We start from the raw sequence: 26833 nt of genomic DNA on the forward strand, positions 1-26833 counted from the left end.
TTCACATTCACTCATTTATTAAGTTACTTGACATTCCTGAGCTCTGGTTCAGCGTCAGGTGCAGGCCGATGCCGTCCCCCACAACCCCCGCCCACATCTGCCATACTTTCAGATGCCCCAAGAACTTGAACTTCATTTATTACAAATAACTGGGTTCACTGCATTGTATGATGAACAGCGAAGCCTAGAGAGGCAGCCCAGGGTGGGGCTCCAACAACTGCCCCCAACATGCCCAGCCCTGCATGAAGTCCTGGGTGGGTGAGGTCATCTGGACTGGGCCTTGGAGCTGTCCTGTATTTATAAAACCAAATGGGTCCAAAGACTTCTGGGTGTGCGCGCGCGCGCGCGCGTGTGTGTATATATATATATAAAACATAGGCTTCCTTTCCACAGGGCGTTGGTAGGTGGGACTGTTGACGCCATCCCTGGGAGAGAAGAAAGTCGGCTGTGGCAGGGACTGGTCCCAGAGTGAGCCTAGGCACTGCATCAGTTTGAGTGGCTGGTTAGCCTGGACCCTGGGCAGGTATGGGGCGGCCCATCCTGCCCAGCCACAGGAAGCTCTAGGCCACCTGGATTTGCAGGTCCTCGTCCTCGTCCAGGTCACTGGTTCCATCCTCGGCCTCCTCGGTGCCAAAGCGAGCACTGCGGATCTTCCCGAAGAGGGGAGCGTTCTGCTGCTGCCTGCGGAGCCTGTGGGGTGGGGGTGACAGGAGGTTAGAGCAGCCTGGCTGGTAGTCCCCCGATAAGGTGGCTGCAGCTGGTGCTGGAGCAGTTAAGCCTTCCCTGGTGCTTTCCCTGCTGTCTCATCTCCTGTAATCTCCTTATATGATAGAAGTGCCATTATCACCCCCATTTTACAAGCAAGGAAACCGAGGCACAGAAAGGTGAAGTCATTTGCTCAAAGTCACACAGATGGTGGGGAGTGGGGCAGAGCTCTGAACTGAAGTGGGTGGTGCCAGAGCAGCTGGGCGGTTAGAGAGGTGAAGGAGCTGGCTCAAGGTCATGCTGCAGGATTTGAACCCAAGCCTGGCTCTCAGAGCACAGGCAGCAGAGTTGGTTGGTGTGACAGTGCAGGGTGGGCTGAGCCCTCTACATTCCCAGTGTCAGTGAGAAAGGGCTCAGCCCTAGTTCTTCCTCACATTAAAATTCCTAAAGTCAAAATTTACGAGGAAAACTTTGAGTCTAAGAAGAGCTGGTGAAGGAAATGCCGATCCCTCCCCCAACCCCCCAGCAAAGTGGCCGCCCCGGCTGCATCTTACTGGAAGACATGAATTATTAACACGTAAGGGAGGGGCACAGGCGGGGGCCTCCATTACTGCACAGTGATTTAGTGAGCTGTCCCCGGAACATTAAAGCACAAAAAGTTGGAAAATAAAACGACACAGCGGTCCTGGGTGGCCCCACCCTCCCCGATGGAAGCACTTGAGAGGCCCAGCAGGGCCTGCCTGCCCACTTCTGGAGTTTATGGCTCCTGAACAATGTGACCCAGACTGCGGGAAAGCCCCAAGGCTAAGTGGTCTTTTGAAGGGTGTGTGCTGCAGGGTCAGAGCAGGCAGAGCCAGCCAGGCATGGGTCCTGACTTGGGCCCACGCCTGGGCCCCTGCACAACACTTTATGGGCGTCATCCCAGGCAGATGGGGAAATCGAGGCTCAGTTTACCATGGCACAATAGCTGTTAGGTCTCTGCAGCCCATTCTCTAAGCCACAAGATCTCAGCAAACAGCAGCATATAGTAAATGCTCAATAAATAAGGGCTTGGATGGCTGATGGCCAGGGGTGATTCTGCCTGGCCACCCACCAACTGTGTGGCCATGGAAAGACTTACCCTCTTGGGCCTTAGTTTCCTCATCTGCCAGCCCCCTAGGAAAAAACATCTTTCCTTTCTCTCATAGAAGCAGCGTGATGCTGATGCACAACATGTAACCCAAATATAAGCCCCTCCGCAGCGGTAGTAGTAACAGTAGTAATAGCAGCAGCTGCTGACAATCACTCAGCATTTATTATGTGCCAGGTGTTTTCTTTCTTTTTTTCTTAGAGACGGGATCTCACTTTGTCTCCCAGGCTGGAGTACCGTGGTGTGATCACAGCTCACTACTATAGCTATGAACTCCTGAGCTCAAGTGATCCTCCTGCCTCGGTCTCCCAAGTAGCTGGAACTACAGGCACACACCACCATGCCTGGCTAAGTTTTGTATTTTTTGTAGACATGGGGGTCTTGCTTTGTTGCCCAGGGGGTCTCAAACTCCTGGTCTCAAGCAATCCTCTTGCCCTGGCCTTCCAAACTGTTGGGATTACAGGTGTGAGCTACCATGCCTCCAGGTACTTTCTTAAGAATGGATCAGCTCATTTAATACTCACAACAATCAAGAGGTAAGAACTATCATCATCCCCATTTTACAGATGAAGAAACTGACACAGAGAGGTTAAATAAATGTCCCAAGGCCACACAGCTGCTAATGCTGAGCCAGGCTTCAGACCATTCAGGCAGTCTGGCTGCAGAACCGGGCACCCTCTATTCCACGAAAGAAGAGAATGCAACTAAGTGCATTCTCAGGGCCCGGCACAGGTCAATGCTGTGGCTCCGATGCTCCTTGGGCCTCCCAGCTGTGAAGTGGGAGGGACGTGGACTGAAGTTTTCTGATATCGCCTGGTTCTGTGATTCACAGAGTGCTGGGACAGAGACAGGGTTGGGAGAGGGAGGCAGAGTGTGCTGGGTGGGGCCTGTTGGCAGTGGACGGGATCCAGGCCTGGGGCCCCTCCACGAGTCCCTGCTCACCAGTCTCTCAGATCCCTGCTGTCTTGGTGTCACCTGGGCCCAGTAACGCTGAGGGCTGCCTATTTGAGCCCTGCTGGCCCCACCCACTGCCCCAAGCCTTGGGCCTGACCTCTCCAGCCCGCCCTTCCTGCCCTCACTCTACCCACCAGCCCTCCTGCTAGAGGAGACAATTCCAGGGCCTGCAGCTGGCCTGACTTCCTGCACCCCCTGCCCTGGTTTCCTGGCTCTGGCCCTTCCTGCCCGGAGGGGACAGGATTCTGGCTCCAGGCACCTGGATCTCTTCCTTCGTCTCCCCCTCCAGCCTTGGTTTGGGCTCCGTCCCTGACCGGAGGGTTCCCTGGCTGGAAGTCTCTGCCCTGTTTCTGTTCCCTGCCCGGGGCCCACCTGGACTGCAGGTGCTCCAGTTGCACTTGCAGGTTCTCGCTCTGCTCCGTCTGCTCGTCCAGCGACCGCTGCAGCTTACGTGCCTGGTTGTGGGCCTCGTCCAGCTGTGGGGGTGAGCAGGGCCGAAAGCACGAGGGTCACCCAGGGCTGGGCAAGGCCGGCCACCCGCCCAGGGAAAACCACTCCTGCTGTTCCCTGGGAAGGTGCTCCTCCGAGAGTGTTTGCTCCTTGAGGCCTAGGCTAAGGCTTACCTCTTCTAGAAAAGCATCCCTTTGGTTCCTCTCCATCCCCTTTGCCTCCTCTTGCACATCTACCCATCCTCCCAGGCCCTGCACTACTGATGCAGCCATCCACCTCCTATCCTTCTGTCCCCATCAGTCTGTCCATCGGACCATTCGTCCAGGGAGATATTCATCTGCCCATGGAGACAGTCACCCACCACTCCCCATCCATTAATCTAATCAGCAGCCCATCTAGCATGCCTAGCCATGCCTTCCTGCTCTCCCGGACACACCTATCTTCCCGTCAACCTGGCCTTCTTTCTCCCTCTGTATTCGTTCTTCCACCCACTGACCCAGTCAGCTGTCCATCCATCTGTCCACTCTCTACCCATCCAGCCATCATCTGTTCATACATCCATTGGATCCACCCATCCATCTGCCCGCCCTGCCTCTCTCTCCCATTCATCCATCCATTCATTCCTTTACCCATTGGTTCATCCATGCACACATCCATCTTGTCTTCTGTTCATTTTTCTTCCCATCTTCCCACCCACATGTCCATCCTGCCATCCATTCATCACGCACCTACCCACTCTATCCTGGGCGACTCCTGAGAGACAGGCTTGTGCCAGGCACCAGGGGCTGAGAATGGAGAAGCCAGGATGGCCCTGCGGCCCCCACTCCTCCCTGGCCAAGGTCTGTTGCTGCCCCTGCCCCTCTGTGGTCCTCACCTCGTCCTCAGCCTGGGCCAGCTCCTTCTTGAGCTCCTCCACCCGCAGCCGCAGCTTCTTCACCTCAGCCTCGTGCTGCTCCACCCGCCGGTTGGCATGTGCCAGCTCTGCCACCTTCTCCTGGAACTGCTTCTTCAGCTTGCCATGCACATGCTTCAGGTCTGCCAGCTCCTACAGGGCACAGGGATGGGGTGGGAGGGAGGAGGGAATCAGTATCAGCTTGGGCGCCATGCCAGGGAGTCCCACGAGGTCAGGCAGTTCTAGGGATGCTGGGTGTCTCTCCTTCCCAGAATCTCTCCATCTGTTGTCTGAAGTATCAGCAGTAGAGGTTTGGCTGAGCAGCCAGAGGCTGGAGGTGCCTTCCAGGGAGGTGAGAAGGCTGGGTGGGTGGAACCTGTGGCTCCGGTTTGGATGTGTAACTTTCAGATGCTACTGGATCTACCCTGGAGCTGTTGGAGCAGGGTCGGGGTTTCCGGGGAAGGATGAGGTCTGGAGTCTTCAGGGGCGTATGGCATTGAAAGAGCTGGGTTGGGAATGAGCTAGGCTGGGGAATGGGTGGGTGTCTCAGAGCCCAGAGTGGCTGGGAAGAGGAAGGGCAGCCAGCAAAAGAGATGCCCACCCTGGAGCTCTGTGAGTTCTCTAAGCCTCAGTTTCCATTTCTGTAAAATGGGAATAGGCATTGCCTAAAGGTCTCTTGAGTCCATCCTTTTTGTTCCATCTCTACTGACTGCAACCTGGTCCAGGTCTCCTCCCTCTCTTGTTGTCCAGGGAATGTCAACAGCTTCCCCCCAGCCTGTCTTCCCATCCTCTGCCCACACAGCCTGCTCACACTCCCCTCCTGCTTTAAACTCTCTCGAAGAGTCCCACCACTCGTGCCTCACTTACCACATCCCCCCGCTCACTCCCCTCCAGCACACTGGACTTGTTCCTCCAAAGCTCTGTGTCTCTTTCACCACGGACATTTATTCATGTTATTCCTAACTTCTCTCCATCCCCTCCCCTAAATCCGCACACTACCAGTTAACGGCTGCTTTTCCTGGAGAACTCAGTTTATTTATTTATTATTATTTTTTTGAGACGGAGTTTCTCTGTCACCCAGGCTGGGGTGCAGTGGTGCAATCTCAGCTCAGTGCAACCTCTGCCTCCCGGTTTCAAGTGATTCTCCTGCCTCAGCCACCCGAGTAGCTGGGATTACAGGTGCCCACAATGCTCGGCTAATTTTTGTATTTTTAGTAGATATGGGGTTTCGCCATGTTAGCCAGGCTGGTCCCAAAATGCTGACCTCAGGTGATCTGCCCACCCCAGCCTCCCAAAGTGCTGAGATTACAGATGTGTGCCACTGCGCCTGGCTGAGAACTCAGTTTAAAATGTCACTGCCTCCGGGAGGTATTTCCAGGACCGTGGGCCTAAGCCAGGTCTCCTAGTATCCCCTCTTCTTGCTGGTGACCATGAAGCTGTGTGATTGGCATGAATCTGTGTGACAGAGAGAGCCATGTGTACATCCCCCAAGTAAGTCTTCAGCTCCATGAGGGGAAGAGGGGAGGCCACATCTGTCTGTTCAGTGCTGTGTCTCTGGCACCTAGAGTGGAGCTTGGCACATAGTAAGTGCTCAATGAATGCGGCTACTATAATTACCAACTGGTCTAGCACACAAGGTGCTGAATACATGCAGCTACCATAATTATCACCAGGCCTGACACATAGTAGGGAAGCTGCGCTCTGGCTGGATGGGGAGGTGGCAGCCCCAGCACTGGCCACTCCACTCCTTGCCCCACCTTGTTCTTCTCGAAGAGCGCGGCCTGGCTGGCCCTCAGGTCGCAGTCCAGTGCGCTGGCTGTTTGCCGCCGCCGCCGGGCCAGCGCCTCCTCCAGGTCTCCGACCTGTGCCCGCAGCTTCTTGTTCTCCCGCTCAAGGCCCAGTTTCTCTGTCTCCAGCCGCTCCCGGCGGCCCCACTCCGCAGCGTTTTCGGCCTGCAGCCGCTCCATCTGCAGCAGGGCAGGGCAGAGTGAGGACTCCCAGCGGAGGGGGCATGCAGGGCCTGAGCTGGATGCCCCCGCCACCTCCTGGAGCCATTTTTGGCTCCAGGAAGCAGATCCAGCTGCATTGGCTGTAATTAAGCTGGGCTCATTTCATGGTGTACAGGATGTGAGGGCGCTTCTGGCCTCTGTGTGGGAGAGAGGCCTGCCTCTTGCAGATCAGGACACCATTGGATGTGGCTGGCCCCGCTCAGAGCACAGTCCTGGCCCCTGCCCTGTTCCCAGTGACCTGCTGATGGAGCAGGGCCCCAGGACCCCTAAACCCAGGTCCTCCTGGGTCCCATCCATGGCCTCACCTCGCCCCTCAGCTCGGCCATTTTCCGGTCCATGCTGGAGCGTGCACCGAGCTCATCTTCCAGGTCCTCAGACATGCGGCCCAGCTCGTCCTGGTGCGCCTCCTTCAGGATGCTGAGCTGCAGGGATAAGGCCCCACCTGGTCATGAGAACCACCAGGATATAGCCTGGAACCACCTCCGGGGGTGGGCGCCAGTGCAGGAGTGCTCAGCGTGGAGCCAAGGCAGCGCCCAAATGGGGCAGGCACCAGGTATTCCAAACAGACCTCGAATCTGACCACTTCTGCTCCTCCCAATGTCTCTCCTCCTCATTACTGTCTAGCCTCCCAGTGTCTACTCCTGGCCCTTCTCTGTCAACCCGTTTTCTACAACAGCAGCCCAGAGGGAGCTTTTAACAAAGATGAATGCAATCATACCACCCTCCTCCCACAAAGCCTCTGATGGCTCCCAGGTGCCTTAGGGTAAAGTCCAACTCCTCTCTACGCTCTCACAAAGCCCTGCACGATTGGACACCTACCCGCCGCTCCCCCTTAGTTCACTGTACTCCAGGCACCAGGGACTCCTTTCTGTTCCTCAGACACACCAAGTTCCTGCCCACCACAGGGCCTTTGCACATGCGTGGATCTTTCTGAGACACTTCTTAGGACTGATTTTTCTTATTCTCAGGCCTTGACCTAAAGGCCCCCTCCTTAGGAATGCCTCTTCTGCCCACCTGGCCTGGAGGAGGGGCCTCCTCATCCCACTCCCCACTGGAAAGCTAGCCTGGGAGGACGGGGAGCTTGTGCGTCTGTCCACCTTTGTGTCGTTGTATGGCCTGGGCACAGGGCCGCCCTCAGTGTACAGTGACTAATTCCAACACTGCTCTGCACACAGGTGCATCGGCATTGCTTGGCGTGCATTTAAGACAATAACATTTCTTGCGGTATACAGCAAACCCCAACAAACTGCTGCTCCCTGTAACACACGGATGAGTTTTCAACACATAATGTTGAGGGAGAGACACCAGATACAAAAGAGAACCTTTATAATTTTCTACTAAATTGTACATTTGTGTTTCATTCGCTTTTCTTCGAATGATTATACTTCATAATTTGAAAAGACTAAAAGAACAGGGTCCTGGACCCAGCCCTGAAAGGTGCTGATTCAGGAGGGTGGAGGCGAGGTCTGGGAATCTGTATTTTAGGAGATTTCCTCAGAGATTCTCATGTAAGACCAGTCTTGGTCCCCTCCAGGACAGTTTCAGGCTCTAAAGTTCTGTGATCCTCCCAGCTGCTAGAAACCCACCGATCCAGTGTGGCGTTCCCTGGGTGGCTGCGCCCTCTGGTGGCCATTGAGGCCTGCACAGGAGGCCGTAGTGGCAGCTCAGCCTGCTCTGAGCCCCCACACTGCAGTGGTGGATTCCCTTCTCTGGAGCCTCAGTTTCCCTATCTGTAAGATGGGGACATGAGGACCCAGCTCCCTGGGCTGCCATGAGGCTTCAGTGACACCTAGTACAGATAGGAACCCAATGAATGCCACATCCAGCCTCCTCGTCTTCATCCTGGTCTACAAGGCCCCCTCCTGCGGCCTCGCCTCTCACTTCCTGCTCTCCAGCCACCTGGCCCTCCCTGTTTCCCGCACACGCTGGGCTTGTTCCTGCCTCAGGACCTTTGCACCGCTGTGCCTTCTGCCAGGAACACTCTCCCCTGTATCTTTTCAAGGACAGCTTCCTCTAGCCCCTTTAGGTCTTGCCTCAAATGCCACCTTCTTAGGCCTTCCCTGACCTACCACCCCATCTCTCTCATTCTGTTTTGACTCCTTCATAAATTATGAATCTGCCTGGTGACTGTCGGTCTCCCATGCCCACAGCCCCCACAAAGTGAGCTCCTGAAGGCAGGGACCTTGCCTGCCCAGCACTCAGAACAACTCAGAAAAAATAACATAACATAACATAACATAACATAACATAACATAACATAACATAACATAACATAAATAAAATAAAATAAATAAAATAAAATAAAATAAATAAAAATAAATAAAATTAAAATAAAATAAAGCCAGGCACTGTGGCTTACACCTGTAATCCCAGCACTTTGGAGGCCGAGGCAGAAGGATCACTTGGGTCCAGGAGTTCGAGACCAGTCTGGCCAACATGGTGAAACCCTGTCTCTACTAAAAATACAAAAATTAGCCGGGCGTGGTGGCGGGTGCCTGTAATCCCAGCTATTCGGGAAGCTGAGGCAGGAGAATCGCTTGAACCCGGGAGGTGGAGGTTGCAGTGAGCCAAGATCACACCACTGCACTCCAGCCTAGGTGACAGAGCAAGACTCTGTCTCAAAAAAAAAAAAAAAAGAACAACTGTTGGATGAATTAATGAATGAATTCTCTCTTCCATCTCCACTACTGAAATTCAACAGCGCGATCCTGCCGCCTCCAGGAAGACCCTCTGGTCTCCAAGACTCACCTGCTTGAGCATCTCCTGCTTGGTCTTGCTCAGCTCCTCATACTTGATCTTCCACTGGCTGAGCTCCCCCTCTAGCTTCTCAATGTTCCTGCTCAACGCCAGTTTATCCCTGGGGAAGGGACAGACATGGGGGTGAGCCCACCAAGGCCCTCTGCTTGGAGTCCTCACCAAGGGTGGCCCTGCTGTGTGCCCTCTGCACTTGTTGAGCCCAAGTCCAAAATCCTTGCCTTGGTATTCAGGCCCAGGCACCCTATGTGGCTAGAAGCACCCTGGCTTTGCAGTTCTCCTGGAACTGCATTCCCTATCCAAGTGCAAGTGCCCAGCTCACATTGTGGGGAGGTGGTCGGGGTTCCAGAGCACTGAGCATCCCCGGGCAAGTACCTCTCTCCTGCTGCACCTCAGGCTCATCTGAAAATGGCTCCAGGAGGTGGCGGCCCCAGCACTGGCCACTCCACTCCTTGGCCCACCTTGTTCTTCTCGAAGAGCTGTCAAAGACCACCCTGCTCCTGTCTGTTTTGTAGACTATGTTCCCTGCAAGGCTTGGTCTGAACACATGGTTCTGCAGATAGAAACACTGGAAAACACTGTCCAGTGACCCGAAGAGAGGGTTCTCTCTTGCCATCGACACTGTGTGGGATCCCTACATCCTCCCATAACCCCCACCCTGCCTTGATCTTGAATAAGGCACTGTAGGTAACAAGCATGATGCCTGGCCCTGGCAGAGTAGGTGCTCACCAATGGCTGAGCTCAGCATCACCTTCCAGCACGCTGCCCTTCATGACCCCACACCACACTGGCCTCTCTCTCTGAAAGTGGAACACTCCATGCCTCCAACATGGGGTTCCCAGAGGGGACAACGTCACCCTGTAGGAGGCATGTTGAAAACCCATGGCAACATTTTTGGCTATCACAATGATTAGGGGTCATTTAGTGGACGGGGGCCAGGGTGCCTGACTCCCTGCAATGCCCTGGGCGTCCTGCCCATCAGGATGCATCCTGCATCCTACTGAATGCATGCACAGCCCACTGGACATTGCTCGGGGTAGAGATGATCTGAGCCTACAGCCTCATTCTGATTTACATTGAAACAGAAAGTAATTTTTATACTAACATACACTGAATTTTCTAGGAATGGAATCACTGTATAAACTGAAGGAAGACTGCACTTTTCTTTGTTTTTAGAGAGAGGATCTGGCTCTGTTGCTCAGGCTGGAGTGCAGATCACAGCTCACTCCCTGGAACTGCACTCCCTACCCAAGTGCAAGTGCCCAGCTCATATTGTGGGGAGGTGGTCAGGGCTCCAGAGCACTGGGCATCTCTGGGCAAGTACCTCCCTCCTGCTGTACCCCAGGCTCATCTCTTAAAGACTACCCTGTTCCTGTCTGTTCACAGCTCACTGCAACCTGGAACTCCTGGACTCAAGCGATCCTGCCACCTCGAGCTCCCAAAGTACTGGGATTATAGGCATGAGCCACGGTGCCCGGCTGCACTTTGCTTTGTTCAGAACTTTACCAAAGGCTGTTCATCTCTCAAGAAAGCGCATCGCAGTGACACCACTTGTGTCTTTGAGTTGCTAAGTCTGCACACCTGCATGAGCCGCCTTTGTAGCTGTCCTGCGAGGTGACTTAAATGTGCAGATACATGTAAGCCTTCAACACAACACCTGACTCGGAGCACATGCTATGTCTTTGCTGTTATAACTATCGTCACTATCATCCCATTTAAAGACACCCACTCTGACCACTTCACCATTTCTTCTAGAGGAGCTATGCCCAAGCACTCCCATATCACAACACGTGTATTTTAAGTTACTTTCAGGCTGGGCGCAGTGGCTTACACCTGTAATCCTAGCGCTTTGGGAGGCCAAGGCAGGTGGGCTCCCTGAGCTCAGGAGTTCGAGAGCAGCCTGGGCAACATGGTGAAAACCTGTCTCTACTAAAATACGAAGAATTAGCTGGGCGTGGTGGTGTGTGCCTGTAGTCCTAGCTACTCGGGAGGCTGACACATGAGAATTGCTTGAACCAGGGAGACAAGAGATTGTAGTGAGCTGAGATAGAGCCGCTGTACCCCAGCCTGGGCAACAGAGCGAGACTCTGTCTCCAAAAAAAAAAAAAGTTACTTTCACTTCTACTTTATATTTCAGTTAGTGCACTAGGTTGATTTTTTTGCTTGTTTGGCTTAAACAGTCTAAATTTATTCTCTCATATTTCTAGAGGCTAGAAGTCCAAGATCAAGCTGTTGGCAGGACTGGTTCTCTGAGGGCTGCGAGAAAGAATCCGTTCCATGCCTCTCTCCCAGCTTCTGGCAGTTTGCTGGCCATCTTTGGTATTCCTTGGCCAAAGATGCAACAATGTCCGCAAAAGCATCACCCTGACCTCTGCCTACATCTTCACAAAGGCATTATAGTGATTTTTTTTTTTTTTTGAGACAGCGTCTCTCTCTGTCACCTAGGCTGGAGGGTACTGGTGCATTCATACAATCACAGCTCCCTCAGCCTCGACCTCCTGGGCTCAAGCGATCCTCCCGCCTCAGCCTTCCAAGTAGCTGGGACTACAGTGGCACAGCCCCGTTCCCAGCTAATTTTTTTTTTTTTGTAGGCCAGGCACAATGGCTCATGCCTGTAATCCCAGCACTATGGGAAGCTGAGGTTGGTGGATTACCTGAGGTCAGGAGTTCGAGACCAGCCTGGCCAACATGGTAAAACTCCGTCTCTATGAAAAATACAAAAATTAGCCGGGTCTGGTGGCTAATTTTTTAGCCACCCTCTGGGTTGTCCCCTCTGGGAACCCCATGTTGGAGGCGTGGAGTGTTCCACTCTCAGAGAGAGAGGCCAGTGTGGTGTGGGGTCATGAAGGGCAGCGTGCTGGAAGGTGATGCTGAGCTCAGCCATTGGTGAGCACCTACTCTGCCAGGGCCAGGCATCATGCTTGTAACCTACAGTGCCTTATTCAAGATCAAGGCAGGGTGGGGGTTATGGGAGGATGTAGGGATCCCACACAGTGACGATGGCAAGAGAGAACCCTCTCTTCGGGTCACTGGACAGTGTTTTCCAGTGTTTCTATCTGCAGAAACATGTGTTCAGACCAAGCCTTGCAGGGAACATAGTCTACAAAACAGACAGGAGCAGGGTGGTCTTTGACAGCCCTTCGAGAAGAACAAGGTGGGCCAAGGAGTGGAGTGGCCAGTGCTGGGGCCGCCACCTCCTGGAGCCATTTTCAGATGAGCCTGAGGTGCAGCAGGAGAGAGGTACTTGTCCGGGGATGCTCAGTGCTCTGGAACCCCGACCACCTCCCCACAATGTGAGCTGGGCACTTGCACTTGGATAGGGAATGCAGTTCCAGGAGAACTACAAAGAACATGCGCCAGAGGCATGGTGGCACATGCCTGTAATCCCAGCTACTCAGGAGGCTGAGGCAGGAGAAACACTTGAACATGGGAGGCAGAGGTTACAGTGAGTCGAGACTGTGCTACTGTACTCCAGCCTGGCTGACAGAGTGAGGCTCTGTCTAAAAAAAATATATATATATATAGAGAGAGAGACAGGGTCTTGCTGTATGGCCCAGGTTGGCCACAAGCAATCCTCTTGCCTCGGAATCCCAAAGTGCTATGATTACAGACATGAGTCACTGCACCTGGCCATTATATTGATTTTTTAAAAAGGAGTGTGTAGATAGGTTATGCTATTGTCGTATTTAATTTCTGGACAGAAAAACTGCAGAATATTCATTATCATCAAGCTCGTGCCCTCTAAACTGCTCTGATCAAGGTCACTGGTGACCTCCACATTCTAAATCCAATGGTCCAGGGCTCAGCCCTGTTCTTACTGATCACTCTGTCCTCCGGGAAACGGTTTCTTGTGGTTCCCCTTCCCAGCCCGGCTCCCTTCTCTTGTCTCCTCTGCTGTTTCCCTTTCCTCTAACTGACCTCTAAACTTGGCACTTCAGGGCTGGATCCTCTGACCAGTTCCCTATCCACACTCATTCCTTGGCCCTTGTCCACGCTCATCGTTTTATTTATTTATTTATTTATTTATTTATTTATTTATTGAGACAGAGTCTTGCTCTGTCGCCCAGGATGGAGTGCAGTGGCACAATTCCGGCTCACTGCAACCTCCACCTCCCGGCTTCAAGCAATTTTCCTGCCTCAGCCTCCTGAGTAGCTGGGATTGCAGGTGTCTGCCACCACGCCTAGCTAATTTTTGCATTTTTGGTAGAGATGGGGTTTCAATTCACCATGTTGGTCAGGCAGGTCTCCAACTCCTGACCTCAAGTGATCTGCCCACCTCGGCCTCCCAAAGTGCTGGGATTACAGGCGTGAGCCACTGCGCCTGGCCCAGCTCATGGCTTTCAATATCATCTCTTCACTGGTGACTCTTGCATTTTTACCTCCAGCCCAGGCCTGTCTCATGAACTCCAGACTCATTCACATCCCCAGCTGCCTCCCTGCCATCTCAAACTCACACGTCCAAAACCAAGGTCCCAGCTGCAACCTTCCAACTTCCCTGTCTCCATTCCCTGCTTTTACCCTGCCCACAGCCCTCTCCCCCAACTAGAAAGTACGTTTCAGGAAGGCAGGGGCTTCTGTCTTATTTACGGCTGTATCCTCAGGGCAGAGCACAGTGCCTGGCCCAGAACAGGTGCCTGGTAACGTATTATTTGAATGAATAAATAAAAACTTGCACTGAGTTCTTGGGTGGAACACCACTGCTCTACAGTTCCAAGATACAGTCTAAACACTACCTGTCATCTTCGTGAGTCTAATGTTCTGTGATTCTGAGGGCGTTGTAGCACGGCCTGGCCCTGGCCCTGCCCCCTCCCGCCTCCCACGACTCACTCTCGCTCCTTGAGCAGCACCTTCTGGGACTCATCCAGCCGTAGCCGCAGGGCGGTCAACTTGGAGGCCTCCTCCTCCGTGGCAGCTGTGTCCTCCCAGGGTAGCCGGCTGCGCTCCTGGCGGCCTGAGCTGCCCCGCGGGCCCCCAGCCCCCAGGCTGCGCGCCTCCCAGCAGTCCTCAGACTCCTCTGGCATGCTCTTCAGCAGGCTCTCCACCAGCTCCAGTTCCTGCGGGGACCAAGGTGGAGGCTGGACCAGTGGCCGCCAAGCCAGGCCCTGGGTCTGAGATCAGCTTGATGGGTAACCTTGGGCAAGTCACACAGTGTCTCTGGGCCTCAGTTTCCTCTTCTGCTGCCTGCCTCTCCATCTCTGGAGAAGGAAGACACACCCTGCTCTGGGCCTCCCCTTTCACCTCCTGGAGCTGCAGAGTGTCAGCCACCATGGTTCCCTGTATCCTAGAAGATTCCCCAGGAGAGGTGGTGAGCTCCCTGTCACTGGAAGTATGCAAACCTACGGCGGGGCACCGATGGGAACAAATGTTGAAGCAGGAATTCCTATAATGGCTTAAGCCTAGATTCCTTCCAAAGGAATTCTAGCTCTAAGATCCTGTTTTTTCAGGGGCAAATAGTAAGGCATGGGGAGACTGGTGACACAGGGAAGCAGTGCCTGTGAGGAGAGCCAGCTCCCAGACAGGAAGCAGTTGAGAAATTAGGAACCCAGGGCCGAGCCCCTTTCCTTCTTGCCATCCTGCCCTTCTTCTCCGCCCCGCCCATCTCCAAGGCCTGTCTCTGACACAAACCCACAAGGACCACAGCCCCTGTTCCAGCTTCTCCCACAGCCTTTCCAGATGAGTCTGGACCAGCCTCTTCCTGGCCCGGCCCTCAGTTTCCCTAGCTGGACTGGAGCGGTGGCCCTGAGGACTCCCTGAGGAGTGAGAGCTACTCTTCTGTTTCTCAGATTATTCAGGTGGAGGTGTCCAAAGCCCCATTTTACGAATGGGGAACAGGGAGAGAGAGGACTTGTTCTGGGCCACAGCATGAAAAGGCTGGGCTGGAGAACAAACTCAGACTGCAAGCCTAGGGCTCCTGCCACTGCCCACAGCCCTCTGGCCTGTGACCGACAACTGGAATAAGGATAGGACAGGAACAGCATTGTGCGCAGTGAACACCACCTCCAAACACCAGGTCACCCCAGGGAAGAGGGGACTTCAGCCACAGGAGGCAGCAGTGCCCACGCTAGCCTACGGGATGGAGGGGGCTGGGCAGAATAGAGGAGGGGCAGTCTTATTTGGAGGAGTTGGCCTGTCCAGGGACTGAGCTGGGGACAGAGCTGGGGAACTGAGCTTGGACCCTGCCCCTAGGTGGCTTTCTGGTAACAGGCCTGCTGGCTCAGGAGAGGGTGCCCTCTGCACCCACTGTTAATGCAGCAGCCATCCTGATTATTACCCTGGACTCTGGAGCCAGATTGTCCAGGTTCAAACCCCAGCAAGTTGTCACCGGCTGGCAGACATTGCTGCTGCTTTTTTTTTTTTTTTTTTGAGATGGAGATTCACTCTCGTTGCCCAGGCTGGAGTGCAATGGTGTGATCTCGGCTCACTGCAATCTCCACCTCTCGGGTTAAAGCAATTCTCCTGCCTCAGCCTTCCGAGTAGCTGGTATTACAGGCGCCCACCAGCATGCCCGACTAATTTTTGTACTTTTAGTAGAGATGGGGTTTCACCATGTTGGCCAGGCTGGTCTTGAACTCTTAACCTCAGGTGATCCACCAGCTTTGGCCTCCCAAAGTGCTGGGATTACAGGCGTGAACCACCACGCCCAGCCCTTACTTCTGAATCTCTCTGTGCCTCAGGATCCTCCCCATGGAGCAAATATCTTAGAGGGTTGCTGTGGGGGTTACCTAGATAACGCACATGCTCGGCTAAGTGCTGCGTGGGCGCCCAGTGAATGACGGCCGTTGCTATTACTGCCTTTTTCCAAACTCACCAGGCCCTCTCGGCCTCTAGACTTTTTGCACAGGCAGTTTCTATCAGCTGGAATGCCTTCGGGCACTTTTTTTCTTAATTTTTATTTTTTAGAGGTGGAGTTGTTGCCCAGGCTGGAGTGCAGCAGTATAGTCATATTTCACTGCAACCTCGACTTCCTGGGCTCAAGGGATCCTGCTGCCGCAGCCACAGCCTCCCAAGTAGCTGGTACTCCAGGTACGAGCCACGTCGTCCTGCCCTCCTGGCACTTTTCACAGCTAATTCCTACTCATCATTCTAGTCTCAGCTTAAATGTGACCTCTTCCAGGAAAGCTTCTGTGAAGCCTGCGTCAGGGACCTCCTCTGTGATCCCAGTGCCCTGATTTCTCCCACCGCTCAGCTCTGATTGAATCAATGGATTCGGCTCTGCTACGAATCAGCTAACTTCTAGGCAAGTTGCTGGATCCCTCTCCTGGCTCAAAGGGGATGATTCCTTGGTTCTGTTGACTTCTCAGGTGTGGGAGTGGAGGGATCACAGAACTTGGGATTCTCCACCCTGAGGTCTCTGGAAGGAAAATGATGTGAGGCCCCGCAAGGGTAGAACCCGACCTGGAGAAGTGAAACCTCCAGGAGGCCAGGCCTTTACTAGCTTGTTTCTGAGCCCAGCAGCTCAGGACAATCGGCCCCGCCCACTTCGAGACTGGAGCGCGAACGCCCCGCCCGCGCCGCGCACCTGGCTGCCTGGCGGCCTCTCGGACCCGACGTCACGCACTGGCTCGCGCTCCGCTTCCGGCTCGGGGCCGTCGCGCGTCTGGTCGGCGACCCCCCGGGCGCCCCTCAGCCGCGCCAGCTCGCGGCCCCGTGCCTCGCACTCGCCCTGCGCCTCTTGGCGCTCGCGCCGTGCGCCCGCCAGCTCCTTGGTGAGCGCGTCCAGGCGCTGGCGCAGCTGGCGCACCTCCTCGCGCGCGCGGTTGCGCTCAGCGCGCACCTTGCTCCATTTCTCGCGCCAATTGGCAGTGCAGTCCGACCACCGGCGCATGGTCTTCTCCATCTGCGCCGCCCGCGCCCGCGCCTCCTCCAGCTCCCGCAGCCGCAGCTCCTCGCGGCTCTCCCAGTCGCCGTCGGCCAGCAGCGCGGGCGCGGGGGGCAGGGGCAGTGCGGGCGGCGGCCCGGGCGAGGGCGTGCCGCTGGGCGGCGTGGGCGGCAAGGAGTCGGCAGGCCCCATGCGCTCCGGCGACGGGCTGCCCAGGATGGTCAGGAGGCTGCCCTTGGACAGCTGCGGGGACTCGGCCAGCCGGGGGCTGGGCCCGTGGCTCATGGTGCGGCCGGGCGGGCCCTGAGCTCGAACTCGCGGTCGGGCTCAGGGGCGGCTCCGGGGACGCGCGGCGGGCGCGATACAACTGTGCATGATGACGCCGTGCCCCGCTTCCCTCTGGGCCACCGGGCGGAGGACGCCTCCTCGGACCTACGGGAGAACACAACCGTTATTGGACTGCGACCACCGTCAGTCTCGAAGATCAGCCGCGCCAAGGCCCTGGCGGAGGGAACAGAACGGCCAAGGTAGGAGGAGAGAGTTCTGTTCCAGGAGAGTCCCAATGAGGCAGGATTGGTGGAGCAAGGGCCCGCAAAGGCCTCCTCAGTGGCCTCGACTCCCTGCTCCAATCCCTTCACCCAGCGGCGCTAATCTGAAACCTTGATCTGTTCTTTATTCTCCCGGTCCCGGCTCACACACTGATGGCTTATACTATACTACTATGCAACTTCCGCACAGGACCCAGGCGGGGGCACTGGGCTGGTGCCAGGAGTCCCCTCCCTGCCTTTTCCTGCACTGGGCTAACTCTTCTCATATTTAAGACTCTTCTGAGGTATCACTTCCTCCTGGAAGCCCTCCTGGAGCACTTCAGGCCAGGTCCATCAGCCCCTTATGTGTCTCCATCACTGCACTAACTTACCCTGTCATTTATGTGTCTGCTGTGTACCTTTAACCAAGGCTGTGAGTTTGCTGTGGTCCAGGACTGGGTCCTGACCACTGTTTTAGTCCCAACACATGATGACAATGATATTTGTGGAGGGCAGGCCACAAGCCAGGCACTGTGCCCAGGGCTTTAGGTGAACGATCTCATTTATTCCTTAAAGAGTGGAGGTGAAGAAAATGATTACCTCCATTTATGGTATCTATGAGTACAAATTCAAACTCTAGTAAGGATTTGCTGAATGAACGCACGCGCTGGGGATGATGATGGAAACAAACCAGTCCTCAGATGGAAAGGGCTTCTGAGAGTGCAGCAGGATGTTCTCTCCCCTTCTCTGCCGGAACCACCCCTCCCTGACACCGTGACTCACCGCAAACAGCTCTCTTGTTCTCTGTGTCTCACTTCAGCCTCCCCATCGCCCAGCACTGGGCTCTGCCATTTATGGGCCATGCCCCCCTCCTCCTTAAAATAAATGAGAGGCATGTCCCTCTCTGTCCCCAGTCTCCCTCCACTGCGGCCTCTGTTGACTGCCACCCACCAACAGCCCCTTGGGACATCACACTTTTCCTTCCCCATTAGGCAGAGAGCCCTGGTCCACAGATCTTCACACCTGCCCCTAAGACCCACCCTTTCTGAGTGATCAGTGTACTGTCGGTGGGACTCGGCACTGGCTGTCCCCAAGGCTGCCTGGCAGCCCTCTATGTCCCCTCTCCACCTTCTTCCAATCTCTAACCCACCTCATTCTCGGCAGATGATCTATCGTCATGATTTGCAGTGAAAAAGGAAGCTGTCAAGCCCCACGGCCCCCTCCTCTCTGCCCCTGAGAGGACAGAGGGGTTCTCCTTCCTTGAGCCGAAGGCCTCCCTCCTGCCAGTCCCACCCTAGCCAGTGACGTCCTTTCCAGGGGTCTTACCCCTGCTGAAGTGTCTCCTGACACCTTCTTCTCCCCTCCCCTGGCACCTCCCTTTTAAGGTCCTTCCAAAGTGGTCCACACTCGCCGTCTCCACTCCGTCTACCTGCTTGGCGCTCTGTCACCCGGCCACCTGTGCCAGGCTGGTTTCCAGTCCCCTGTGACGGTGTGCCCTCTGGACCCACCGTGGCACCTGCTTCCCTGCCTCACTTGCTTCCACGTCTTCCTCTCCAGGTTTCCCCTCCTCTCCAGCTGCTCGTCAGCCTCCCAGGTGAACCCCCTGGGCTTATCCCTCGAATGCGGCTGTCATCGGGCCCTGGGCCCCCTTCTCCTCTCACGATATCCCTGCCCGAGCCATCTCGCTATGTCCCCAACTCCAAGTCCCTCTCCAGCCCAGGTTGCCCTCAGAGCTTCCCATACCTCCAACCGGATGCCTGATAGATGATTCAGGCTCATCTTGGTTAAAATAGAACTTGCTGCCTCCATTCCCCCCGTGACCAGCTCCTCCTGGGTGCTCCTCCGAGAGAAGGCACTTCCTCACTCCTTCCAGAGAAGGCACTTCCTCACTCCTTCCAGCTTTGAAGGCACCCTGAAATCTGCCTTCTTTCCTCCCCCACCCACCGCCAAACCTTGTCAGTCTATCTGCTGTGCATCCGCCTTCCATCCACCTTCTTTGTCCACAGTCACTAACCTGTCAGGGTCCACACCACCTTCACTCACCTGGGTAACAGTACCCACACCCACCTCCCTGCCCATCATGCACTTTCACCTCCTTCAAATCCATTCTCAACAGCAACAGCCAGAGTGAGTTCTTGTAAGAACCTGACCACTCTGATGGCCCCTCCCTGTGTCATTACCAATACTGATTCCTCCCTAGCCTCAATTCTAAGGTTACTCCCTCTAGGACTCAACTCCAAATACTCTCCAATCCCAGCAGGAGCCGCAAGCCACTGATCCCACCACTGCACTGCCCACCCCCATGTCCCTCTCTTTCCCAGCTCACCTTCTGTGCTCCTAATTTCTCCCTTGCCAGCACCCTCTGTGCCCTAGGCCCCTCCTGTTCTGGCTTCTCCTGGCAAACGCCAACCCTGTTCCCTCCACTGCTTTGCCCACTCTTACCTTCAACTATGGAGCCAGGCATTGGAGGTCTACACCACCACGTGGAGCAGTATTTTTTAAAACTCATGACCTTTTGTCAAGGTTCCTCCGTGCTGCTCAGCGACCCCGCTGCATTTCTCTAGGCCATTTGCTGTTTGTTTATTGTCTGTCTGCCTTTACCATGCATGAGGTCTAGGCCCAGCTCTGACACCAACCTCATGTAAGCCACTGTCCCTTTCTGGGCCTCAGTTTCCCCATGTGTAGAAGGGGGGATGTGTGAGAGAGACCAGTGCTTCTTCATCAGGGTGTCCTTCAGATTCACCCAGACACTTGGCCCTATACCCGAGAGAGTCATGTTTGCTAGGTGTGGAGCTTGGAATTTGCATTTTAATAGTCTGGGATATTTGAGTATTTGGCGATGCTTTCTTACTACCCACAGTTCCATAAACACAACATGTACACCCCGACCCTGATAACATCTGTGTCACGCACCCAGACACAGCCATACAGATCCAGGCTCTGGTTCCATGTACACCACTGACACCCCAGGAGATCCCTAGCAGCCTGTGCCTCTGTGACCCAGTCTCTCCGCCTGTGCAGTGAGCTGGCTGGCCTTGATGCCCATGTGCATTCACAAACATCTGTGCACACACAGACATGCAATCCCATGCACAGATGCAAAGACCCAGGGGCAGACACACATATGCTCAGATGGACGGACAGGCACACAACGACACGGGTGCATGGAGAGACATTTGCCTGTAGACACAGACACGCCTGAAGACACACATATGCCAGCACACTGACACACAGGTACAAGGACATGCAAGGAGACATGCTCATCCCCAAGTGAAGCAGACACACACACACACACACACACACACACACACACACAGAGGCAGACACACACACTCCTCCTTTTCCTGGCCTAGCTCCACATAGAGAAGCTCTTGGAAAAGAAAAACAATGTGAGAGCCTGTGGGGGGAGGGGAGGAGGAGGAGGAGGCAGGAAACCCGAATGCCAGCCGGCAGCTGTGCTGGGTATGGGGGCCCGGGCCCTGTCTGCTGGGCCCTTCTTGCAGCCGCTGAACTAGGAGCCTGGCAGGGAGGGGGCCACTGCCACATCCTCCCTGCCTCTGGGAGCTGCCAGGCCTGGCACAGGGCTTGGCCCAGAGAGGGCCACCGGCTTCTTCCAGGAATCCAAGCCTGTTGGGCAGGGCCAGGGCAGGCACCACCCAGGTCTCTAATGGCTTCCAGGCACCCATGCTAAAGGCAGAGATGGGGGCTCCAGACTCACCTCATTCTCCTTCCCAGCGGCCTGGCCAGGCCCCTCCTAGGGGCTGGGGGAGAAGGAAAGGGCACAGCAGGAGCACGGAAGTTTTGGAACAGCACTCCCACCTTTGCACTTCAGGCCCAGGGTCCCCTGGAGCGGGTGTGTGGGAAGGGGTGGGGGTCGGGGTCCTCAGGGGAGTTTTCTGGAGAAGCCCACCCCGCCCCCAGCACACCAGGAATCCTGCACTCCCACATAGACCCAAGGGCAGCCAGACCCTGCCTTGCAACGCCTCCCCCTACCCTGCCCCACTCATACAGCACAGCCCTGGGGACACACACTCACATACAGCCCCAGTAATGCACACATTCACACACACACCCCCAGGGACCCGCACTCACACACAGCCCCAGTAATGCACACACTCACACACACACCCCCAGGGACCTGCACTCACACACAGCCCCAGTAACGCGCACACTCACACATGGCCCCAGGGACCCGCACTCACACACAGCCCCAGTAACACTCACACTCACACATGGCCCGAGGGACCTGCACTCACACACAGCCCCAGTAACGTGCACACACACACATACAGCCCCGGTAATGCACAGACTCACACGCAGCCCCAGTAACGTGCACACTCACACACAGCCCTGGTAACGCACACACTCACTGAGGGGCAGCAGCAGCGCAGAGCATGGCTTACAGTCGTGGAGATGCCCCAGCTGCCCTGCCCGCCCCTTCCACCAGGCTCAATGCCCTCTTGCCATGGGGTGTCTATGTGCGTGGGGCGTGGCCTCCTGTTCCCTTGGCATACTGCCCCACCAAGGGGCAGGTCACGGTGGGACCGGCCACCACAGGCCCCGGGGAGCCTTTCCTACCCCACCCTTCGTTGTCCTGCCTCCCAACAGCCAGACAGGTCTATTACTGCTTTAAGTCTCTGGGTTTGTATTCCAAATGCCCATGTCCCAGACTCCAAAACCCCCACCCATCTTCAAGTTCAGCTGCCACCAACTCCAGGAAATGCCTTGATCTCCCCAACCCCACCCCCACCTGGGGACCACAGCCCTACAACCTCCCACAGCCAAGCCTGGCAAGCTGCCATCTCTCTTCTGGCAGTACAGGCTTCCCTCATCCAGATGGGACACTTGTGCCACTTAGAGCTTCCATCAGGGCTCCTGAACCCCAGCCCCACAGCTGTGCTCACTGGTAGCTCACTCCAGGACAGAAACAAGAATATTTTGAGCTGACACTTGCTGCAGGCTAGGCCCTCATCAGCCCTGCCCACAGAAAGTGACCCAGTGGTTCCTGTTGCTTGTGGACTTGTCTGGAATATCTCTCCTTCCTTCATCAGCAAACTCCTACACATCCTTCAAAACCCACCTCCAGTGTCCCCTCCCCTAGGAAGCCTTCTCTAACCTCTCTGCACAGAGTATGCTCCCAAAGCACCAGGCACCTCCGTGTTCTACAGCAAAGGCCTTACTTTGAAGTCCACGAGCGAGGGCATCAGCACAGGGCCCAGCATACAGCAGATGCGTGATGGATGGAAGGTACCCCTAAGAAGGTGGTACCACTCTTAGGGGTACCCTTGTGACCATGCAGAGTTTGGGAAGGTTGAGTCATCCTAAAGATCAGGAGTCAGTCGGTGGCCAGGCTCTGAGACAGGTAGGTATCTGAGCCTGTCTGGCCAGGGTTGGAATAAGAGGTCATCTCACGGCCAAGTCGGCTGTCCCACCTTTTACCTGGGGAAGCCTAATTGACCCACTGGGAACAGCGTTGTGTTTTGTCCTCAGCATGTTTGGATGGGTCTCTCCATATCAGTGAGAGGAATGAGCAATGCCAAGGCCTGGACAGGGGCCAGCTGAAGGGATGGGGAGCCCAGTGCCCCAACCCCTTCCCCGGCTCTGAAACCCTGTAGATCCTCCCAGAGCCTTTCAGGTAGGGCCCTGGGACAAGCCCATGGCCACAGGCCTGGCTGTGGACAGAAAGCAGAGCCCAGTGGGAAACCACAGAGGACAGCCTGATTGAATAAGTGCAGGGCCCAAGGCTGGTCAGCCCACAGACTGCGGGCACCTGTCCCTGTGACCTGCTGCCCAGGATCCAGCTGCAGGACCTCTGGGGGGAGCTGGCTGGCGGGAAAGGAAGGGATGGCGGCTAGGCCTCCAGGCTGGACCTAAGCCCAGGGGTAGGCACCCCTGGCCTATTCCCAGGTAGCCCCATCTTAGACTGAGGAGCCACAGAGACAGCCTGGATCATTGATTTGAACTCCTTTCTTTACATATGGACCAACTGAGGCCCAGAGGGACAGCTACGTGTCTGTGTCCACACCGCGGACCAGCAGCAAGGCCAGAGTAGGGAGCTGGTGATGGGATGCCTCCTCTTCTGGATCTTAGCCACCTGAGGGGCACAATGCCCCCGAGAGCACCTACACGATGGGGTCTGCAGGCACCAGGCCAAGTGGATACGCACAGCTGGAATGGTGGGGTGAACCTTCATGGGGACCCAGCCCCACCCCGACCCCAGCCCCACCCCTCTCGGCAACACCGTGAACTCTTCACTCTTGTACAGCAGACATCCCGCTAGTCCCAGCTCCATCACTGATATGCTGTGTGATATCTGCAAGTCCCTGCCCTCTCTGGGCCTCAGTTTCCTTACCTACAGGATGGGGAGAGGCACTAAAAAGATTCCTGAACGCTCTAACAGGTGGGCAGACCTCCCGAACCCAAACCAATCCAACCCCCACAAGAGCCCTGGGAGAGCGGGGGTGGGAAGGTGGACACCACCCCCACCTAAGGTACTGAAACTGAAGCCCCAGCCCTGCGTCGCCTTAGTCCTCACTTAGTCGACCCCTCCCAAGCCGCTGGCCCTGCGAACCGCCCCGCTCCACCTAGCGACGGGCGGAGGGTGGAGGGGGTTCCCGGCCCGCGCCGCGCGGTCCCGCCCACCCCACCGCATGGCCCCCATTGGCAGTCGCCGCGGCTCTGGGCAGGGCGCCGTGCTCTGATTGGCCAGCGCCGCCCGTCCATCCCGCATTCGCCATGGCGACCACGTTGGGTCCCCCGGGAGAGTCCCAAATTCCGTCCCCGCCCGCCGCCCCCTCCCGTCCGGCCCGGGCCGCGGCATTCCGGAGGCGCCTCCCCTCCCCCATCACCCCGCGGCCCCTCCCCACCGGAGACCTGGGGTTCCGGGGGCTGAGGGAGGCCGGGGAGGCGTCTAGAAAGTTCTGCTCTGAGTTCGGGGGTTGCCGCGGGCGCCCCGACTGTGTCTGCTCCTCCAGCACGCCCCACAACTTAACCCCTTCCTTCCCGCGGAAGGCGCGCGGCCTGGAGCAAGTTCCCGGGCCGCCTTGGCCTGCCGCCCCCCGGCCTGCCGCCCCCGCTCACCTCGGGCCGGGACTTGCGGGCTCCGTACGTCCCAGCCGCTGCGGCGGGGTAGAGCGGGCACCGTGCAGCTGCGACCGCCGCCGGAGGGGCCGAGGGAGGGCCGCGGAGTCTCCTCCTCCCTCCCGGGGGGAGGGGAAGCAGGGGGAGCGGCGGGGCCCCCGAAGCGGTCGCAGGCTGCGGCCCCGCTGTGACCCCGGCCCACCGAGCTGCTGGGGTGGGGGCTCCAGCCTAACTTCGGGGCGAGGGGTGCGGGCCGGGGCGGTGGGCTCTGCTGCAGAGCGGGCCGTACCCCAACGGAGGCCCCACCCCCGTGAGGGGCCGAGAGTTGCGGGGGGGCTCGGCTTTCTTGGTTCAGGTTTCCTCAGCGCCAACTACGTACTAGGCGCCCCCAGCAGAAACGGCCACCGCGGGTCCCAGCTCGGCACGTGGAGCGAGCTTACCAAGTCTTCACTGTTGTTACCTGCATTTTTCCCTGGGCCAGCTCTGCCACCGAGTGGAAGTGGGCCAACAAGTCTGTGCCCATCGGGCCTCAGTTTCTCTTTCTGTACAACAGAAGGGTTGACGAAAGCAACCTTGCGCTTGTTAAGAGGTGGGGGGCGCGGGGAGCACTCGGCCCGGCGGGCGGAGACTTTTCTCTGCATTGCGATGGTGGTTGGCAGGCCCTGGGGAATTACGGTACTTCGCCTTCGGGGACGCCCAGCTGTTTTGGGGCTTTCTCTCTATTGGGGGTAGGATGTTTGTGGTCTTGACTGGAAAGCCGGGACAGGCGTCTGGAGGACTCCCCACTACATCCTGTACCCTGGAAGGCCCCCGAGGTGAATCTATTTAAAAGAAGACCAACAATTCACCAAGATGGTGGGGAAAACCTGGCCTGATTGGGATTTTACCTAGAAAAAGAAGCTAAATATTACGAAGATAAATTAGTTTTACCCCGTGATTAACGGAGTTTAGATTATGATTGCAACCACGCACGCCTTAAAATGAACCAAGAATGAATCAGATGTTAACACTGGAAGTCTTGCTTTTTCTTGTAATAGTTGAGTATGTAGCATCCTTCCCTTCTGAACTGGTTTTTGCAGTAAGAGATTCATTTTTGCAAAAATATTTGAGAGCTTCCTCAAACTCAAGGATCACTCTGAATCCTTTGATAGTCCAGTGCCTTTTTTCGGGTCTGGGTCACTTCCCTTGCAGACGTTCCCTTTCTCTGTGGGCAGCGGCTGTTCCATTTCTCCTGCTTTGCTTCCACCAACTTCATGAAATCCCATACGTTGCAAGACTGGCAGTTTCACTTGTCGATTCATTTGCTTTGTATTTGTTATGCGTGGCTGAATGTTGAAAGCGTCTGTTCACCAGCCAGAGATAGATAGGAGATGTATGTGGGGTTTGAGTACTCAGAGGACAAGGGCATCCACATTTTACAGCTGAGGAAATGAAGGCTCAGAGAGGCTCTTGGCTCAGACTTGCACAAGGTCCTACAGCCAGTAACAGCCTTGGATCAAGAGCCCAGAGGTCTTGCCCAGAGTTTTTGGAGGTGGAAATGGGGCTGGGGAAGGTGGTGGAGACTGAGTTGATGGTGCACCTGAACTCCAGCTATAACCTCATCACTATCAGGCCTTCTCTCCTTAGGAAGAAGCAGTAAATATTGTCCTGAGGATGTCTTTTGCAGGGGCTAGGGTGGGGTGACGTGACCCACCCGATCGTAGAACCAAAGTAGGTGCTGGCCACAGGTTTTGGCAGCTCGCATGATGTTATCTTAGTTACCTAGGGGCTGGGTGTTATTACCACCCTCTCATAATGAGAAAAGTGAAGATCAGAAATGACTGGACTGGGCACGGCGGCTCACACTTGTAATCCCAGTGCTTTGGGAAGCCAAAGCGGGAGGATCGCCTGAGGCCGGGAGTTCAAGACCAGCGTGGGAACATAGGGACACTCTGTCTCTACAAAAAGATAAAAAGTTTAGACAGGTGTGATGGTACGCTCCTGTAGCCCCAGCTAACTTGGGAGGCAGAGGCCAGAGGATCGTCTCGAGTAACTGGCCCGGGGTCACCCTATGAGATGTCAGATCCCAGATCTGACTGTTTCAATTTTACCATAGTTCTCTTTCTAGAACAACACCCCCAGGCGCCTCTCTGAATGCAAGGCTAATCTGGCGTCAACCTCCCCAGTGGTCTCGGCAGGGTTTCTCTCTGGCAGCCTGTCCCACTCAGTTCAGGACAGTCAGGTTTTTGAGGCGTGTGTCAATATTTCCCACACTTCAGCAGTTCTGTTTTCCTGTATTACTGCCACCACTTTTTGCCACTAACACATGCCCTTATTTACCTAGCATTTTTCTTTAAATCATTTCACTTTGTAGGACCTACTTGTATCTTAAAGCCTATTTCATATAGCTAGGTAAATAGAAAATTTGTATAACTTGCCACAAATAGAAAAAGATCATAAAAATAAATAGTATGCAAATAAAACAACGTTAGTAAAGTCTAGCTAGAAACGTTCTCTTTGTTAAGAAGGGGCATC

General features: G+C 55.6%; 2 protein-coding genes across 5 annotated transcripts in view, besides 7 other annotated features; one reads left to right on the forward strand and one right to left on the reverse strand.

Moving 5' to 3' along the window:
- On the reverse strand, window positions 1-24836 carry CCDC102A (coiled-coil domain containing 102A). 2 transcript variants are annotated; one of them, XM_011523469.3, is made up of 9 exons: window positions 24780-24836; window positions 16413-17144; window positions 13721-13947; window positions 8888-8996; window positions 6445-6561; window positions 5888-6097; window positions 4113-4283; window positions 3161-3264; window positions 1-690 (listed from the first exon to the last, which is right to left on the reverse strand). In XM_011523469.3, exons 2-9 carry the CDS (start codon window positions 16995-16997, stop codon window positions 561-563), a joined length of 1653 nt encoding a protein of 550 aa, XP_011521771.1. In that variant the 5' UTR covers window positions 16998-17144; window positions 24780-24836; the 3' UTR covers window positions 1-560. The 2 variants fall into 2 exon arrangements, with proteins under 2 accessions (XP_011521771.1, NP_149989.2); NM_033212.4 differs by lacking the exon at window positions 24780-24836 and adding an exon at window positions 24320-24391.
- Window positions 7750-7919: an enhancer, noted in NCBI's record as "experimental_43689 CRE fragment used in MPRA reporter constructs". NCBI's record gives its function as "activates a minimal promoter by MPRAs in K562 erythroleukemia cells, with activity observed for both the introgressed and non-introgressed 16:57553927 variant alleles {active_cell/tissue: K562}" and the evidence as "EXISTENCE:reporter gene assay evidence [ECO:0000049][PMID:34662402]".
- Window positions 16763-17263: an enhancer, noted in NCBI's record as "H3K27ac hESC enhancer chr16:57562855-57563355 (GRCh37/hg19 assembly coordinates)". NCBI's record gives its function as "activates a minimal SCP1, AML or CMV promoter by ChIP-STARR-seq in naive and primed H9 embryonic stem cells {active_cell/tissue: H9 hESC(naive and primed)}" and the evidence as "EXISTENCE:reporter gene assay evidence [ECO:0000049][PMID:30033119]".
- Window positions 16893-26833, forward strand: part of ADGRG5 (adhesion G protein-coupled receptor G5) — a 48117-nt gene continuing 38176 nt past the window's right edge. For 2 of the 3 annotated variants that reach the window (XM_011522949.3, XM_047433778.1), the window contains exon 1: window positions 17086-17239. In XM_011522949.3, the coding sequence (XP_011521251.2) occupies window positions 17086-17239 (154 nt within the window). Of the gene's footprint in view, window positions 17240-26833 lie in introns of all 3 variants that reach the window. The other variant, XM_047433776.1, reaches the window with a different exon arrangement.
- Window positions 17594-17753: an enhancer, noted in NCBI's record as "active region_10896". NCBI's record gives its function as "activates an Ori minimal core promoter by ATAC-STARR-seq in GM12878 lymphoblastoid cells {active_cell/tissue: GM12878}" and the evidence as "EXISTENCE:reporter gene assay evidence [ECO:0000049][PMID:35858748]".
- Window positions 17954-18003: an enhancer, noted in NCBI's record as "active region_10897". NCBI's record gives its function as "activates an Ori minimal core promoter by ATAC-STARR-seq in GM12878 lymphoblastoid cells {active_cell/tissue: GM12878}" and the evidence as "EXISTENCE:reporter gene assay evidence [ECO:0000049][PMID:35858748]".
- Window positions 20280-20839: an enhancer, noted in NCBI's record as "H3K27ac-H3K4me1 hESC enhancer chr16:57566372-57566931 (GRCh37/hg19 assembly coordinates)". NCBI's record gives its function as "activates a minimal SCP1, AML or CMV promoter by ChIP-STARR-seq in primed H9 embryonic stem cells {active_cell/tissue: H9 hESC(primed)}" and the evidence as "EXISTENCE:reporter gene assay evidence [ECO:0000049][PMID:30033119]".
- Window positions 20840-21398: an enhancer, noted in NCBI's record as "H3K27ac-H3K4me1 hESC enhancer chr16:57566932-57567490 (GRCh37/hg19 assembly coordinates)". NCBI's record gives its function as "activates a minimal SCP1, AML or CMV promoter by ChIP-STARR-seq in primed H9 embryonic stem cells {active_cell/tissue: H9 hESC(primed)}" and the evidence as "EXISTENCE:reporter gene assay evidence [ECO:0000049][PMID:30033119]".
- Window positions 23684-24633: a silencer, noted in NCBI's record as "silent region_7531". NCBI's record gives its function as "represses an Ori minimal core promoter by ATAC-STARR-seq in GM12878 lymphoblastoid cells {active_cell/tissue: GM12878}" and the evidence as "EXISTENCE:reporter gene assay evidence [ECO:0000049][PMID:35858748]".

The sequence above is a fragment of the Homo sapiens genome, chromosome 16 (genome assembly GCF_000001405.40).
Source record: "Homo sapiens chromosome 16, GRCh38.p14 Primary Assembly".
NCBI classification, from domain to species: Eukaryota; Metazoa; Chordata; class Mammalia; order Primates; family Hominidae; genus Homo; species Homo sapiens.

What these genes read in the sequence shown, in the direction of transcription:
- CCDC102A (XM_011523469.3), bottom strand. Translation starts at nt 16,997, where the DNA reads ATGAGCCACGGGCCCAGCCCCCGGCTGGCCGAGTCCCCGCAGCTGTCC. An exon ending in AGCAGGAGATGCTCAAGCAG is followed by an intron (nt 6,562 to 8,887) that starts GTGAGTCTTGGA and finishes TTATCCCTGCAG; the next exon opens with CTCAGCATCCTGAAGGAGGC. An exon ending in TGGCCGAGCTGAGGGGCGAG is followed by an intron (nt 6,098 to 6,444) that starts GTGAGGCCATGG and finishes GCCCTGCTGCAG; the next exon opens with ATGGAGCGGCTGCAGGCCGA.